At 39.1% G+C, this 15,635-nt stretch overlaps 1 pseudogene across 1 annotated transcript in view; it reads left to right on the forward strand.

Moving 5' to 3' along the window:
* Positions 1-15,098, forward strand: part of CNTNAP3P2 (CNTNAP3 pseudogene 2) — a 237,697-nt pseudogene extending 222,599 nt beyond the window's left edge. Inside the window, exons 22-24 of the transcript NR_111893.2 lie at positions 6,406-6,636; positions 6,872-6,943; positions 11,294-15,098. The product of NR_111893.2 is annotated as a CNTNAP3 pseudogene 2 (transcript). The remainder of the gene's footprint in view (positions 1-6,405; positions 6,637-6,871; positions 6,944-11,293) is intronic.
* Positions 15,099-15,635: the final 537 nt, after the last annotated feature.

Consider the following 15,635-nt stretch of genomic DNA (forward strand, 5'->3'; position numbering starts at 1 on the left):
TGCCTGTTGTTTCCATCCTTTTTGACTTTAGTATCTAACAGGAATGGGGAGGCATATTCATAAATATCTGTTACGCAAGGTAGAAAGTTACAGTAATTGTCTATCATATTGTCTATCATAACCTGTTGTAAAAGCACAGTTAGCTTTACATTTAATAAAGGAACTGAGGAAAGTAATCTTTTTTAAAAAAAACCCATCTTATGTAACTCAATTAAGAAAATGAACTATACTTTAATATTAGGATCAAAAAGTTGAATAATATTTATTATATACATCTTTGTTTCCTTCCAAATAAAGGAGAACATGGAATTGAAGGTGTTAATGTTTTCATTCAAGGATGGTGTATTCAAAGGCATGTAACTTACGGTATAAAAATCTACATTGAAATTCAGCAACGAAGTATATACTCAGAAGCAATTGATCTCAGAAAATTATAAATATTCATTTTGCCTGTCCTTGGAGGTAGAGATAATCATCAAACATTAATAAAACACTTTATACTTTGAAAAACTGTATTTTAGGATTGGTTCTGCTATACATTTTTTGCCACTCTCACATCATTTAGTAATTATACCAAAACTACAACTTTATCTTTAAATTTGGAATTATATAGGAAGTGCTTTCCTTAACTTATAGTAAAATAGACCAACAAGTTGGCTAATAGAGAAGCCACTAATTTTACAAATAAAGTTACCCAAAACACGGTGTTCTAAGTTACCAATATATTTCTCTTGAGTCCCTGTAAATCTTTGATTCATCCCTTCATTTAAAAATATTTGGTGAGCGGCTGGGCGTGGTGGCTTACGCCTGTAATCCCAGCACTTTGGGAGGCCGAGGCGGGCGGATCACGAGGTCAGGAGATCCAGACCATCCTGGCTAACACGGTGAAACCCTGTCTCTACTAAAAATACAAAAAAAATTAGCCGGGCACGGTGGCGGGCGCCTGTAGTCCCAGCTACTCGGGAGGCTGAGGCAGGAGAATGGCGTGAACCTAGGAGGCGGAGCTTGCAGTGAGCAGAGATCCTGCACTCCAGCCTGGATGACAGAGCGAGACTCTGTCTCAAAAAAAAAAAAAAAAAAAAAAAAAAAAAACTTGGTGAGCATCTGCTATGAACAGTTTATTAAGCACGGAGAAAGCCTCTGAATGAGAGAAACACTATACCTACCCACCCTCACTACACTCACATGTTAATAGGTACATAGGGTAATATATGAGCAATTCTAATAAAATAATGCTCATATCCAGCCTAATTTATTATTATGCACCCTAACAATGCCTTAGAAAAAAATGGCCCAAAATCCATCATAATTAAGATGCTGTTTCTGAGCACCTCAATATGATTTTGCCATTTCTGAGTAGTCTTAGTGAATGAAGACCATTCAGATTGATTATCACAAGATCAATTCAGAGTAAACCTATTTAAATATAAGCTTTTTAGATTTTGAATTTTCTATATAGCTTTGAATTTTATCCAAGAGGTAGCTTTAAAGAATGCAAACACCTAAAATACTTTATAATTCAGTAAAGATGATCCATCATAAATTAAGATTTGTTTTTAGATACTTTGGTATTATTGGTATTCTGTTTTGCTTTGTGTGTGTACATGTGCACATGTATTTAAACACTTTTGAGATGAGTATCACTCTGTCGCCCAGGCTGGAGTGCAGTGGCGCAATCTCGGCTCACTGCAACCTCCGCCTCCCAGGTTCACACGATTCTCCTGCCTCAGCTTCCTGAGTAGCTGGGACTACAGGCATGTACCACCACGCCTGGCTAATTTTTGTATTTTTAGTAGAGACGGGGCTTCATCATGTTGGTCAGGCTGGTCTCGAATTCCTGACCTCGTGATCCACCCGCCTCAGTCTCCCAAAGTGCTGGGATTACAGGTGTGAGCCACCGCGCCCGGCCCCTTAAACACTATCTTAAAAATTACATATATATATCAAAAATACAGAGTGCAAAAATGGAAGATGCCTTTTTGTCTGCTCCCAAAAAGTAAAAAAAGTTAGCCTGTAAACAGTTGCATATGAATACAGCTGAGCTTATATACCTTAGGAGGTATACATTCTAGGCTGAAGAAAAGAAAACCCACTGAAGGACTATATTTCAAATAGAGCTCTAGGTATGTAAGAATGCCAAATAGTTTTGGTAATTAAATATTTCTGGAAATTGCCTTTTGAGTTTTGTAAGGAGATGTCACATAAGACATACAGTTTTAACATTTAAAATTCATCAACCTATGTATTTTATATTACTTCTATGCTATGGTGTTTGTCTCATTTAGAAGAAATGTTTTATGTTGGGTCTGGGATTTGATTTTACCTGATTTACGAGCTAGGAAGTTAACAGCTTTTAACTGTTTTGTGGATGCTGTCCTGGTACAGAGACAAAGGACCCTATTACTCACGGCACGGCAAGCCTCGTGAGCAGCAGTTCATTTGCATTGTTTTCCCTTGGCCCTGAAGCCTTATGGGGCAGTGACGGGTGCAGATGAAGGCTGCACCTGTGGCCATGTTTGCACTGTAGCAGAGGAACACTGAGTTTGGGGAATCCACCGATTTTGTAACAAGCACTAAGCAAGTCTATTCTTTGTCCTGGAGGGGGTCATGACCTTATCCTTCAATGTTGCTTGCTTCAATTATAGCCTTGAGAAGTGGCCTGAGTAAAGTGCTGTCAGCATCTTGCACTTCTTGGCAAACCCAGCAAAGCATGAGGAGACACTCAGAGCCAGTGGTGGATTGCCTCTTTCAACATTATAGAATAAAAACACCCAAAAACCCTATAAAAAGTCAAGAAGATAGGAGATTTTGTGGGGTTTTTTTCCCAAGAAAGAGCAATGATTATATCAATTAGTCCTTTATTGGTAAAATGAGGAGGCTGCACTAAGTTATCTTCAAGATTCTCTTCGATAGAAAATTCTAAGATTGTTCTAACTTGGTCCATTAACCAGGATTCAGTGGGCATCACAGATGTCTTGAGGTCTTTGAAAGTATAAGTCAACAAAACTAATGCTGTCCAATAGAACTTTCTGTGATGATGAAAACGTGTAAAGTCTGTGCTGTCCTATGTGGTAGTCCCCAGACACACTTGAGATAAATGAGTTTTTAAGCACTAGAAATGGGGCTAGTATAACTGAGGGACTAAATTTTACATTTTATTTCATTTTAATTGATTTGAGTTTCTTTTTTTTTTTTTTTTTTTGAGATCGAGTCTCACTCTGTCATCCAGGCTGGAGTACAGTGGCGTGAACTCAGCTCACTGCAAGCTCTGCCTCCCGGGTTCACGCCATTCTCCTGCCTCAGCCTCCCAAGTAGCTGAGACTGCAGGCACCCACCACCATGCCCGGCTAATTTTTTTTATTTTTTATTTTTTTTTATTTTTATTTTTAGTAGAGACGGGGTTTCACCATGTTAGCCAGGATGGTCTTGATCTCCTGACCTCATGATCCGCCCGCCTCGGCCTCCCAAAGTGCTGGGATTACAGGCATGAGCCACCGTGCCTGGCCTGATTTGAATCTCAATGGTCACATGTGGCTAGTGTCTACCATATTGCACAGTGTAGAAGACTGTCCACTTACTTATCTAGTCGTTTTTTCCTTTAGTTCAACCAAGTGGCACCCTTTTGTAAGGATAGACATCTGTCTATTTGGCATGACTTCAATGGGCTGGGAAGACAACCCTATCTCAAATATTTTTTTTCCCACAACGTCAAGTGCCAATATTTCAAATTCTGTATTAGAGATCCATTCTTTTGACTCTTCTGCCAAAATACACATGCCCCTGAAAGTGTTATCAAAAGCCATGACCAGGAATTTGTGCAAACATGAATTTACTCGGGAGCAGGCTTTGATGGAACAGAATAGAGAATTGGAAGGGGGCTGGGTGCAGGACCCCGAAGTTGAGAAAGCCCAGAAAGGGAGGCAGACAGGTCACCATACATTTTTGATTAGAGCTATTCAGCTAAGAGTAGCAAAAGTGAAGGGTTTTGACCATGTTGCCATGTCAAGGTAATAGACAGGAAACTGTATCTACATGTCACCACAGTTAAGAGTTGAGTTCTACTGAATATTGGTTAACTGATAAACAATAAATAGTAGTGCTGGCTAAAATCTGGGAGTACAGAATCACGAGTTTCTTCCTGGATTGTGGTGTGATTGCCAGGTACACTTCAGAGTGGGCAAAGGAACTCCTTTCTTTCAGATTTTCCAGCTTAAACAAAGTATATATGACCATTTTCTAATTAAGTCATTTATTAAAGATGTAAGAAAGTTCTACTCTGTTTCATCAGCTCCAAATTAAACAATTGCTCAAGGTTTTTATTCAGGGTTTTAAAGAGAAGTCTGGCCGGGCGCAGTGGCTCATGCCTGTAATCCTGACACTTTGGGAGGCCAAGGTGGGCAGATCACAAGGTCAAGAGATCGAGACCGTCCTGGCCAACATGGTGAAATCCCGTCTCTACTAAAAATACACAAAAAAAATTAGCTGGGTGTGGTGGTGCATGCCTGTAGTCCCAACTACTTGGGAGGCTGAGGCAGGAGAATCGCTTGTACCCAGGAGGCGGAGGTTGCAGTGAGCCGAGATTGCACCACTGCACTCCAGCCTGGGGACAGAGTGAGACTCCATCTCAAAAAAAAAAAAAAAAAAAAAAAAAAAAAAAAAAAAAGGTCTGCCCTAAAATTATGTGATTCTTCTCTAAACTACAGTTACTTAATGTAAAACCATCTTGTATCATGTCAAAAGATAAAAATACTCTTGTTAAGATCGTGTGGCAGACTTTATTCAGGACTATGGCAATAGGTATAGGAATTACTGGAATGGGGCTTTGCAGTTGGGGAAAGAGACTGAGCTCAACTTCAAATACAACAAGGAGAAGTGTGGATTCGTAGCCAAGGAGCAGAGTGGCTGGGGTGGGGTGTCTGAGTGGAAAACTACAAAATGGGAGAGTAATTCTTGCTAAACTGACTCACCAGGTTTCCTGGTGATGCCAGGCCAGTGTTGTCAGACATCACCTGTGGGGTGGTGAGAGGGATGAGAAAGGTGATTAGATATTGAGAGTGATCAGATATTGAGGGTGGGAGATTTGGGTTAAAAGCAAATTGGCAGGATTCTTGCTAAGCTGGACGATGAAAGACCAAAGGTCAGGCTGGTTGAGCAGAGAGCTTAGAGTAGCCTGACCAACATCTGGTCATAGGGAGAATCTTTGTCCATCATGTCAAAGTTCTTTCTTGGAAAAAATAAATTATGTAAAGATCCTTGAACTGGAAACATCATAGAAAAATAGAAATGTAAGAGAAATTGTCATTCTGGTCAGGATCTAAATGTACTAGAGTAAAACCAAAGAAGAGTAAAAAGGGAAAAGTGAGAGAAGAAAAAGAAAAATTTCCCAAGCCTCTCATTTAGGGAAGAACTGTTGTGGGGAACCCCGCGGTGGTGTGGGAGGGAGGGTGGGGAGAAAGAACCATGCAATCGCTCATCTCACTGTTGGGAATGGGGGAAAGTTGGAAAAAGAGGATCTGGTTTTCATATAACAGTGTGAAGGCATGATTTTGATTGTGAGGGCTAGGGAAGTTGAGCTCTCAAACTCATAAAAGGGAAAGCAGGAAATAAGAAGGAAACTGATTAAAGCAGCAAAATAAAAGAAAAAAAGATGAAATAATGTGAAATAAATAGTGTAAGATAAAAAATAAAATCAGATATAGTGGTTATTACTCTAAAGACAAATGGACTAAATTCTGTCAAACTAGGTTTAAAAACAACAGTTAAATGCTCTTAGAATATTGAAAATGAAGGGGCATGCCAAGAACTAGCAGGCAACAGCTGATAAATTTAAGAAATGCAGCACTACTTTCAGATAAGATTGAATTTAAGATTGGAATATAATCGAATCTTAAATGAGATAAAGAGGGATATTATCTGATGACAAAAGATACAGTTTATTAAGATAATATGAAAGTCATCATACAAAATAGCAACTATAGTATGAAGGATTTCCAGAGCTCTGCCCTCATCTCCAAGAGTCGCTTTTCTGTAATCCTCCGGATTATTGGCTGTGAGCGCCATTAAAATTTTATTTTAATGCTATATTGTAAAAATTAAATGGCAGAGGATTTCTTAAATTTATGCCATGTAACTGCTTTCCTATGAAGCTCTGTTACTTGCAGAGAGCCAGCCATCTGCACTTGAACAAATCTGTTAAAAACCTGCCTTTCATAACCCTGACAATGGAAATAGTTGCCAAACAGGTAAAGATTCAGGGTGACCTCTCCTGGAGTGAAGGAACGAGGGGATCGGAGGGACCTCTCCTGGAGTGAAGGAACGAGGGTCGCTGTCTTGCAGATGCGGGGTGTCCCTGCGCCCCCATCTCCGCCGCTGCGCCCTAACTGTGTGTTCCCCTTCTGTCCTCAGAGGCTGCCGGCGCGGACCCGGACACAAGGCGGGCGGCGACTAGTGGCTTCACTGGCTGCCTCTCGGCGGTGCGCTTCGGCTGCGCTGCTCCCCTGAAGGCGGCGCTGCGCCCCAGCGGCCCCTCCCGGGTCACCGTCCGCGGCCACGTGGCCCCTATGGCCCGCTGCGCGGCGGGGGCGGCGTCCGGCTCCCCGGCGCGGGAACTGGCTCCCCGACTCGCGGGGGGCGCAGGTGTGTGGCCCTCCACCCCTGCGCACCTGAAACTGCGCTTCTCTCAAATGTTTTTGAATTTCTCAAAAGCCTTCTTTTCTCCGTCTCTGTCATCCTTCTTTTTTTCCTTTTTTAAAATACATTTTTGTGATGTTCTTATTTTAATTCACTTTTAATTGACAAAAGTTTGCTATGTGTAAATTGTGGCGTGATTAAATCAAGCTATTAAACATCATTCTTCCTTTCCCTGTTGTAGGTCGTTCTGGACCAGTGGATGAGGGAGAGCCCTTGGTTAATGCAGACAGAAGAGACTCTGCTGTCATCGGAGGTAACAAGGCCCTGAATGACCTGGTGCTTGTCATTATCGCTTTAGATAATGATACCATTACTTAGCACAATGGGAAATATATGTAAGAATCAATACTCAATGGTGAGGTCAGAGGGGTGCTATGTATTGCGGTTGGTGGTGGTTTTTTGTTTTTTGTTCTTTGTTTTTTTTCTATTTGAGACAAGAGCCTCACGCTGTCACCCAGGCTGGAGTGCAGTGGTGAGATCTCCACTCACTGCAACCTCTGCCTCCTGGGTTCAAGCGATTCTCCTGCCTCAGCCTCCTGAATAGTTAGGGTTATAAGAGTGTGCCACTATGCCTGGCTAATTTGTTGTGTTTTTGGTAGACACAGGGTTTCTCCGTATTGGCCGTGCTGGTTTCGAACTCCTGGCCTCAAGTGATCTGCCCGCCTCAGCCTCCCAAAGTGCTGAGATCACAGGCGTGAGCCACCATGCCCGGCCTTCGTTGATTTTCTGAGGCAGTATTTGCTGATTTCAGCTTCCCTGGGGGTGCTCAGCATGTAAGAATTCTGCTGAAACAATTTTTTTTGAAGAACAGTTACAAAGCTAATAATGAAAAGTTATTAATTTGAAAATAGCTGTATTCCCTAGGACATGCGGGATATTTGTCACGGTAATGACAACTGTTGGACGGACCTGAAGTAATTATGTTCAAAGCAATGGAAACCTCAGCTAATTATCAGAGCATACACTTTATGGTACTTTTCTTCAATGACAAATAGTATGATTTAGATACTCCCATGACAGTGTTTCACTTATTTAAGAAGTTTTTGTTTGTTTGTTTGTTTTTTGAGACGGAGTCTCGCTGTGTCGCCCAGGCTGGAGTGCAGTGAAGCAATCTCGACTTACTGCAAGCTCCGCTTCCCGGGTTCACGCCATTCTCCTGCCGCAGCCTCCTGAGTAGCTGAAACTACAGGCGCCCGCCACCACGCCCGGCTATTTTTTGTATTTTTAGTAGAGGCGGGGTTTCACCCTGTTAGCCAGGATGGTCTCGATCTCCTGACCTCGTGATCCACCCGCCTCGGCCTCCCAAAGTGCTGGGATTACAGGCGTGATTATTTAAGAAGTTTTAAAGGCACACATTATTTAAAGTGTATTGTTATTTTAAAGTGTATAATTCCCTGTCATTAAGGACATTTACAATGTTGTGCAGCAGTAGCCATTGTATGTTTCACTTTTAATCATACTTTGGAAAGAACTAATCTAATAGGCTAAGAATGTTTTGTGGTTATTTTTAATTGAAGAAAAGTGAAGTTAAGCATAGCTTAAAAATATGTTTTGGCAATGAAAACTTTTTTTCTAAAATATAATTTATTTAGAGCTGGTGCAAAAAATAAGCATTCACCTTTCTTTGTTAATTAATGAGTGAATTATTGAAATCTTTGTTTGTTTGAGACGGAGTCTCGCTCGTCGCAAAGGCTGGAGTGCAGTGGCGCCATCTTGGCTCACTGCAAGCTCCGCCTCCCATTCTCCTGCCTCAGCCGCCCAAGTAGCTGGGGATACAGGTGCCCACCACCACGCACGGCTAATTTTTTATATTTTTAGTAGAGACGGGGTTTCACCGTGTTAGCCAGAATGGTCTCGATCTCCTGACCTCATGATCCACCTACCTTGGCCTCCCAAAGTGCTAGGATTACAGGCATGAGCCACCATGCCCGGCTGAGTTATTGAAATCTTAATTGTATTCTTATTCTGCAGACTCTCCATAGCACATACAAGAGTAAACTAGTTGTGTTTGTTTCCTTCAAAATGACAGGAAACAATTTTGACATAATAAAGTTCTGACTAAATTTCAGTTGAGGATATTCACATTTCCATCACTATCTCAATTCTTTTTGTCTTAGAAATCAGTAAGGTGTAAATTAAAAATACATGACCTGATGAACAAAAACTGTTTTAAACAGTTTCCAGTGGGATTGTGGTCAATAATGCATATCTAAAAGGTATACTTTCGGGGTCAATTTTAAATCAAATCCAATCCTAAATCAATCATGCCTTTTTAGGAGATTTTTTTCATTGCAATGCAAAAGCAATTTCAACATGCCGAACATTTTCACGCTAGGTTTCCAAGTCCTACAGACGTTTACACAATGTCAGGGTTAGTACCCAGCTTTTGGTGAGAAGGAAATGGGCAAGTTGATCATAGAACCAGCTCTTTGGAATTGTATTATATTGCTGGTGGTCAAATATCACTGGCAAGATTGACGGAGTAAACGTAAGGAAACATCTTAGCAGTGTTCTCTTCCGCTGAGAAATTCTTAGCCTGAACGAGGGGATGAAAAGGAGTCTGTGGAAGGCTTCCCCTGGGCTTTCCCAAAGGCAATTTGCATTTTCTAATAGGGACTGGCTGAAGATATAAATTAATATTTGTGTGAAGTACTTTAAATGTACGATGTAGGCAGTAAAAGCGTGGGGGAGGAAATATAATTTCTCCTCATCATTCCTAACTTTGTAGTTGGGACAGACCTCTGATTAACAAGAGAAAAACAAGCAAGTTTACTAAGGCATGCGGTCCACAGCACGTGGGAGAAACCTCAGTGAAACTCAAAGCGCAGTGGCTTAGAAGTCTGGCTCATCTTCAACAATACATTTGTGGAGAAATGACAGGACAATGGAAAGCAATTTTAGGTGTCCGAAGGCGAGAAACCGTGGGAAGATAAATATATGGGAAGAAACTAGTGGAGTACGTGTGTTTGTACATTCTTCTGCTGACATCCCTGAGCTGGTAAGAATGGTCTCCGGTAAAAGATAATTTACATCCTGTCTTTAGATGAAAAGAGGGGAGGATCTAGAGAGCTCTTCCTCCATTGGCTGCTTCTTAATTGCCTTTACTTCAAAATATTTGTCAAAAAGGCATATTTGGGGGTGACATATTCTGATTACCTTCAGAAGCTTGTCTTTATACACATTTATTTCTTTTAGGGTAGATTTTACTTTCATTTGTCACTAATATGATTGCTTCAGTACACAGCATTCTGTGGCATGGCTTCATGCTTTAGCACTCTGGCTCTGAATTAAAGCCTGAAACAATTTATAAAGATACTGGTATCCAGGCCTTCCATTCATTTATTCTGATTTACTGACTTAGTGTGCAGCTAGAGTCGAGAATCATGGACACTGCTAATGGTTTCAATATTTTAAAACATTTTGCCCAGGTCTTTCAAATAATCCACATTCCAGGTAAAAAAAAAATGAATAAATATGCCTGCAATATTTTTGGTAATAGGGATTGATTACATATATGCGACCCTACTGCGTTTGAAAAGTATATTATCGGCCGGGCGCGTTGGCTCACGCCTGTAATCCCAGCACTTTGGGAGGCCGAGGCGGACGGATCATGAGGTCAGGAGATCGAGACCATCCTAGCTAACACGGTGAAACCCCGTCTCTACTAAAAATGCAAAAAGTTAGCCGGGCGCTGTGGCGCGCGCCTGTAGTCCCAGCTACTCAGGAGCCTGAGGCAGGAGAATGGCGTGAACCTGGGAGGCGGAGCTTGCAGTGAGCCGAGATCGCACCACTGCACTCCAGACTGGGCGACAGAGCAAGACTCCGTCTCAGAAAAAAAAGAAAAGTGTATTATCATAAAAGTATTTGAAAACAATTTCATTAAAATGTACCCATTTCATTGTACTAACAATAACATGTAATGATCTATGATGATGCAAACACTCTATACTTGTAAAATGATTTAAAATTTCCCACTTGTTAACTGAAGGATGTACGCGGTCTTAGAGACATGTATGTCTCTATTCTTTTAAATCTGAAAGCATTATCTAAAACCCAATCATCATATACCTGTAGGGAAAAAGCCTAACACAGCCATATCCAAAAGTCATAGTCCGTCAGAAGTATGTTAAATGTTATAAAATTACTTGACCTCAGCATTTCTGAGTTTTGGTGTTTTCAATTTATAATATAATAGGTGGTTGGTTTATTTTAACCAAACTTAAAAAGCAATGATGTCTGCAAAGCCTCTGATTGGACCAAAAGTCACCATTTATACTCTGACATTGAGGCCAGGCACGGTAACTCACACCTGTAATCCCAACAATTTGGGAGGCCAAGGTGAGAGGATCACTTTAGCCCAGGAGTTCGAGACCAGCCTGGGCAACATAGCAACACCCCATCTCTACAAAGAATAATTGTAAAAAGAAAAAAAAAATAAGCTGAACGGTGGAGTGGGCCTATAGTCTCAGCTACTTGGGAGGATCAAGGCTACAGTTAGCTGTGATCATGCCACTGCACTCCAGCGTGGGCGACAGAGTGAGACCCTCTCTCTAAAAAGAAAAAAGAAAAAAAATTATGATGTTTTATTCTTTTCTCTCCCTAGGTGTGATAGCAGTGGAGATATTTATTTTGCTTTGCATCACTGCCATAGCCATACGCATCTATCAACAGAGAAAGTTACGCAAAGAAAATGAGTCAAAAGTCTCAAAAAAAGAAGAGTGCTAGGACAGCTCTAAACAGTGAGCTCGATGTGCAAAACGCAGTCCATGAAAACCAGAAAGAGTGAGTCTTCTGATTGGCAGCTGTGGCTGTCTCTATCATCGTGACTGTGGACTTCCCTGCTGTTGCCATCAGGGTGCACACAGCAGGTGCAGTGCTGTCACCTGGCTGAAGATCTGCAGCCTCAGAGCCTCTGGGAGGTCCCTTTCTCCCTCGGTGAAACACAGTCCTCCACATCAATTTCCAAACAATGAATTAGGTATGGCCATTCATCACTGTTCAGTAGTTTCCCCGTCCAAAGGCTCTCTTCCAAAACTGCAGTTTGATCTGTGTTAATAATTGTGGGGTTTTAGATGAGAAAATGACTATAAAGCTGTGGCCCTACTTTATTTTTTAAAAATGACAGAACTTTTGTTCAGATGTAAAAGACAAAATTGCACTTTAATGTTTTTTGTTACTTGAAAACATATCTGGGATCCCTTTTTTTGGTCCTCTGCTGATATTATAAAACAAGAAATGCTTCTTGGACTACCTTCACTGGCATTTCCATAGTCCTGGAATCCAGAGCCAAGTGGCCTATCTAAAATTCACAGCCCTTTTATTCTCCTGTGTGATGGTTAATACAACACAGTTGAAGCCTGGAAACACTACCATTATTTTTGGTGTATTGCTTTTTCTAATTGACTGTTTTTAATGATTTTGATACATTTTAATGTTGAAATTAATATTGAATGTTAGCTATGAAATTTTAGTATTGAATTTTATAATGGAACAGAACATTGGTAGGTAACAAGATGCAAGAGGATGTCAATACAAGATTGTCTGCCTGTTTTTCTTTGTAATTTGTAATTACAGTTTTTGTAACTTGTGATTATGTTTTTAACTAAATTTACCACCAGATACAAACACTACTTCTTACACAGAGTTATCCTTTATTTATATCATTAAGACGTGAATGAAACATCATCCTAACTTACTTCCCCAAGATATTGAGAGGTCATATCTGTTTTTCATCATTCATTTCTTTTTCTAAAAGTTGTTACTGATATGCTTTTGATTTCCTATGACTCTATTATGTTGTACAGAACATCTTTTCAATTTATTAAAAAAAATAGCTTAACTGAAGATCACTAATTCCTTTTCTAAATTTTGAACTGCTCTAGGCATAAATATCATTGTGTATTATCCTTTCATCTAATCACTTTTGGAATGTAAACTGAAGGCTGTTCACTCCAAGTTAAGTTAACATTTACATGATGTTTATTAAATCTGCCAGTCTGATCAAAGGTTTATGACCATGGGGCCAAATTCCCATAGATTACCCAAAATTGAATATGTGCAGTTAACTGGAACATGTCTCATTAAGGTTTACATACACACTAAGACAGCAAAGGATTGGAATTAACTTTATGGAGACAGTTCCAGGGACTAATATTGAAGCAGTGGTTATTTGATAATGCATGGAACCACCATTTGGATTCAATAAACCAATTACATAAAAGCAATGATGCTACGCTCTTCATATTCCAGATACCAACTGCCTACCAAGGACTAATGAGATGGTATATTTCTTCCACATCAGGGCAAGCTGAAAATATATTGATTCAGCGTTACTGTTATGTAAATGAATTTCCATCTTCTCATATGTGTTATTTTTGAAAGAATGAATACACTCTCTGTCTTAAATCCGCTCTTAACAAATGATCTCTTCTCAGAATACTACATCTGTATTGAGAGTACAGACAGCCCATTGGTCACTGCACCTTTTGCAAGACAGCGAAACGGATGCATCAAATTGCATTGATACATCATCACCATCAATCTTTTGCACTGATTTTTAGACTTAATCTTCTTATTTGAAAATAAACTCATTTTTAAATAAAATAAAAAATATTTTAGGGAAAGCTCTATAAAATTAAAATTACAGAATTATATGCTTTTTAAAATTTATGCAAAAATGTGCAGACAAATGTATTCTGTATTGGTTTATGTATCACTTTGCCCTTGTATATTTTGAGATTATTAAGATTTGTTGACTTTTTTGGTTTGATATTTATCATCTGTTAAATTTTTCCTTTTAAATTATTAAATGCAAAGTGCAAGAAAAAGAGATAAATATTTACTGATTGCTAGATGTAAAAATATCTATGAATATATATATTTAAACTTCTGCCAGAGAGCAACCATCTGACAGTCAACTTACTAAAATCTAAATTGAGTACTTTTTACTGTTGCAGAGAATTAAGTCACTAAACGTTATTTAGATATATAGATGCTAGTTGCAAGTAACACCCTTTTGTAATATAAAAGTAAAAGCATAATAATTTCCCAACTTTTGTCTTCAAATTAAAAAAGAAAATAGCATATAATTACCATTCTTCATTTGAGAAAGCTGAAGATTCTGATGCTTAAAAACTTCAGAATTCTAATATTAAAAATAGAGTGGTTCATGTGACATTGAAGGCTTATCTCTGTAAAATAGTGACACTGGTGAGTGGTATTATCTCAATATTTTTGTCCAAATTCACCTTAGGAAGTCACTGTAAATCTTCATTGTTTCCTAAAAGTCATTATTACGGCATAAACTTAACATACTTTGATAGTAGTTAGTACTGATACGTGACATATTCTACCCCGTGTCTCTGTTACTCTGTCTCTATTACTGTGAAAAGTCACAGTAAATTTAACATTTTCTTCCAGACTGTGTATGATCTTTCATTGTAATAGAGACATGGAGTAGGATAAGTCATGTATTAACATATAAGATTTTTTTAACCTGCTCCCTCAGTTTTATAGATGAGACAAAGATAAGGTTGTAAGAGCTAATCTCTTCAAGTAGGCAGTACTAGTAAGTTGTCATGCGTGGACTGAACTCCTGGCACTTCTTTCTCTTAACTTCAATCCATAGAGAAGCCCACCTTCCTGCCTTCCCAGTATTATTTAGCAGAGGAGAAAATCATATTAGGCTGTTTGATACTCTGTTTGCCTAGACTGATCAATAATTCTGGATCTTTGTTCACATCTTCTCTGAAAGAATATTTGATGGGAAATCTTTTTTATTTTTTAATTTTTGTGTACATACTAGGTGCATATATTTATGGAGTACATGAAATGTTTTGATACAGGCATGCACTGTGAAATAAGCACATCATGGAGAATGGGGTATCCATCCCCTCAACATTTATCCTTTGTGTTACAAACAACCTGATTACACTCTGTATTTTAAAATATGCAGTTAAGTTTTTATTGACTATAGTCACCCTATTGTGCTATCATATAGTAAGTTTTACTCATTCTTTCTACTTTTTTTGTACCCATTAACCTATCCCCACCTCTGCCCCACCATTATCTCAGCTGTCTACTACTTTTTTCAGCCTTTACTAACCATCCTTCTACTCTATATCCATGAGTTCCGTTGTTTTGGTTTTTAGATCCCACAAATAAATGAGAACATGGCAATGTTTGTCTTTCTATGCCTGGCCTATTTCACTTAACATAATGACCTCCAGTTCCATCCATGCTGTCGCAAGTGACAGGATCTCATTCTCTTTTATGGCTGAAGAGTACTCCATTTTGTATGTGAACCACATTTTCTTCATTCATCTGTTGATGAACACTTAGGGTGTTTCCAAATCTTAGCTGTTATAAACAGTATTGCAACAAATAAAAGAGTGCAGATGGAAAATTGATTTTGATGGCTTTTTTCTTTAATAAAACATTAATTTCTTCATGTATAACTGGAAGGCAAACAAATGATCCATTTGCTTAGTTTATTCTTGAATCCATAATATAAGTGACAGAAATGGATTATTAAAATATACTTGAATTTGGGGAAGAATGATATGGACACATTTTAAATCAAAACATGATGAATTGGCTGTTTAACCTACTACCTCATTGGCCAATCTGGGGCAAGATGAAAGTATTTGTAAACACTGTTTTGGCAATTATGTGTAAAGAGAGAACCAATTTTTTAATTAAAAAATTGAATTCTAAGAATTACAGAGCTTTTCTATTGGTAAAGACATTAAATATCATAGAGTCCAACGCTTTTCTCTTCCTTCACATCACTCCCAATGGATGTAGCTCAGGCTAAGTTCATTGCTGATGTGTTGTCAGAACAGCCACTAACGGTTTAAGTTGGTATACTTAAGTGCAAATGTAACCTTAAGAAGGTTACATAAAGTTGCCATTACTAAGAGTAGTAGCAGAATTTATTATGGATT

This window comes from Homo sapiens, chromosome 9, assembly GCF_000001405.40.
Source record: "Homo sapiens chromosome 9, GRCh38.p14 Primary Assembly".
NCBI lineage: Eukaryota > Metazoa > Chordata > Mammalia > Primates > Hominidae > Homo > Homo sapiens.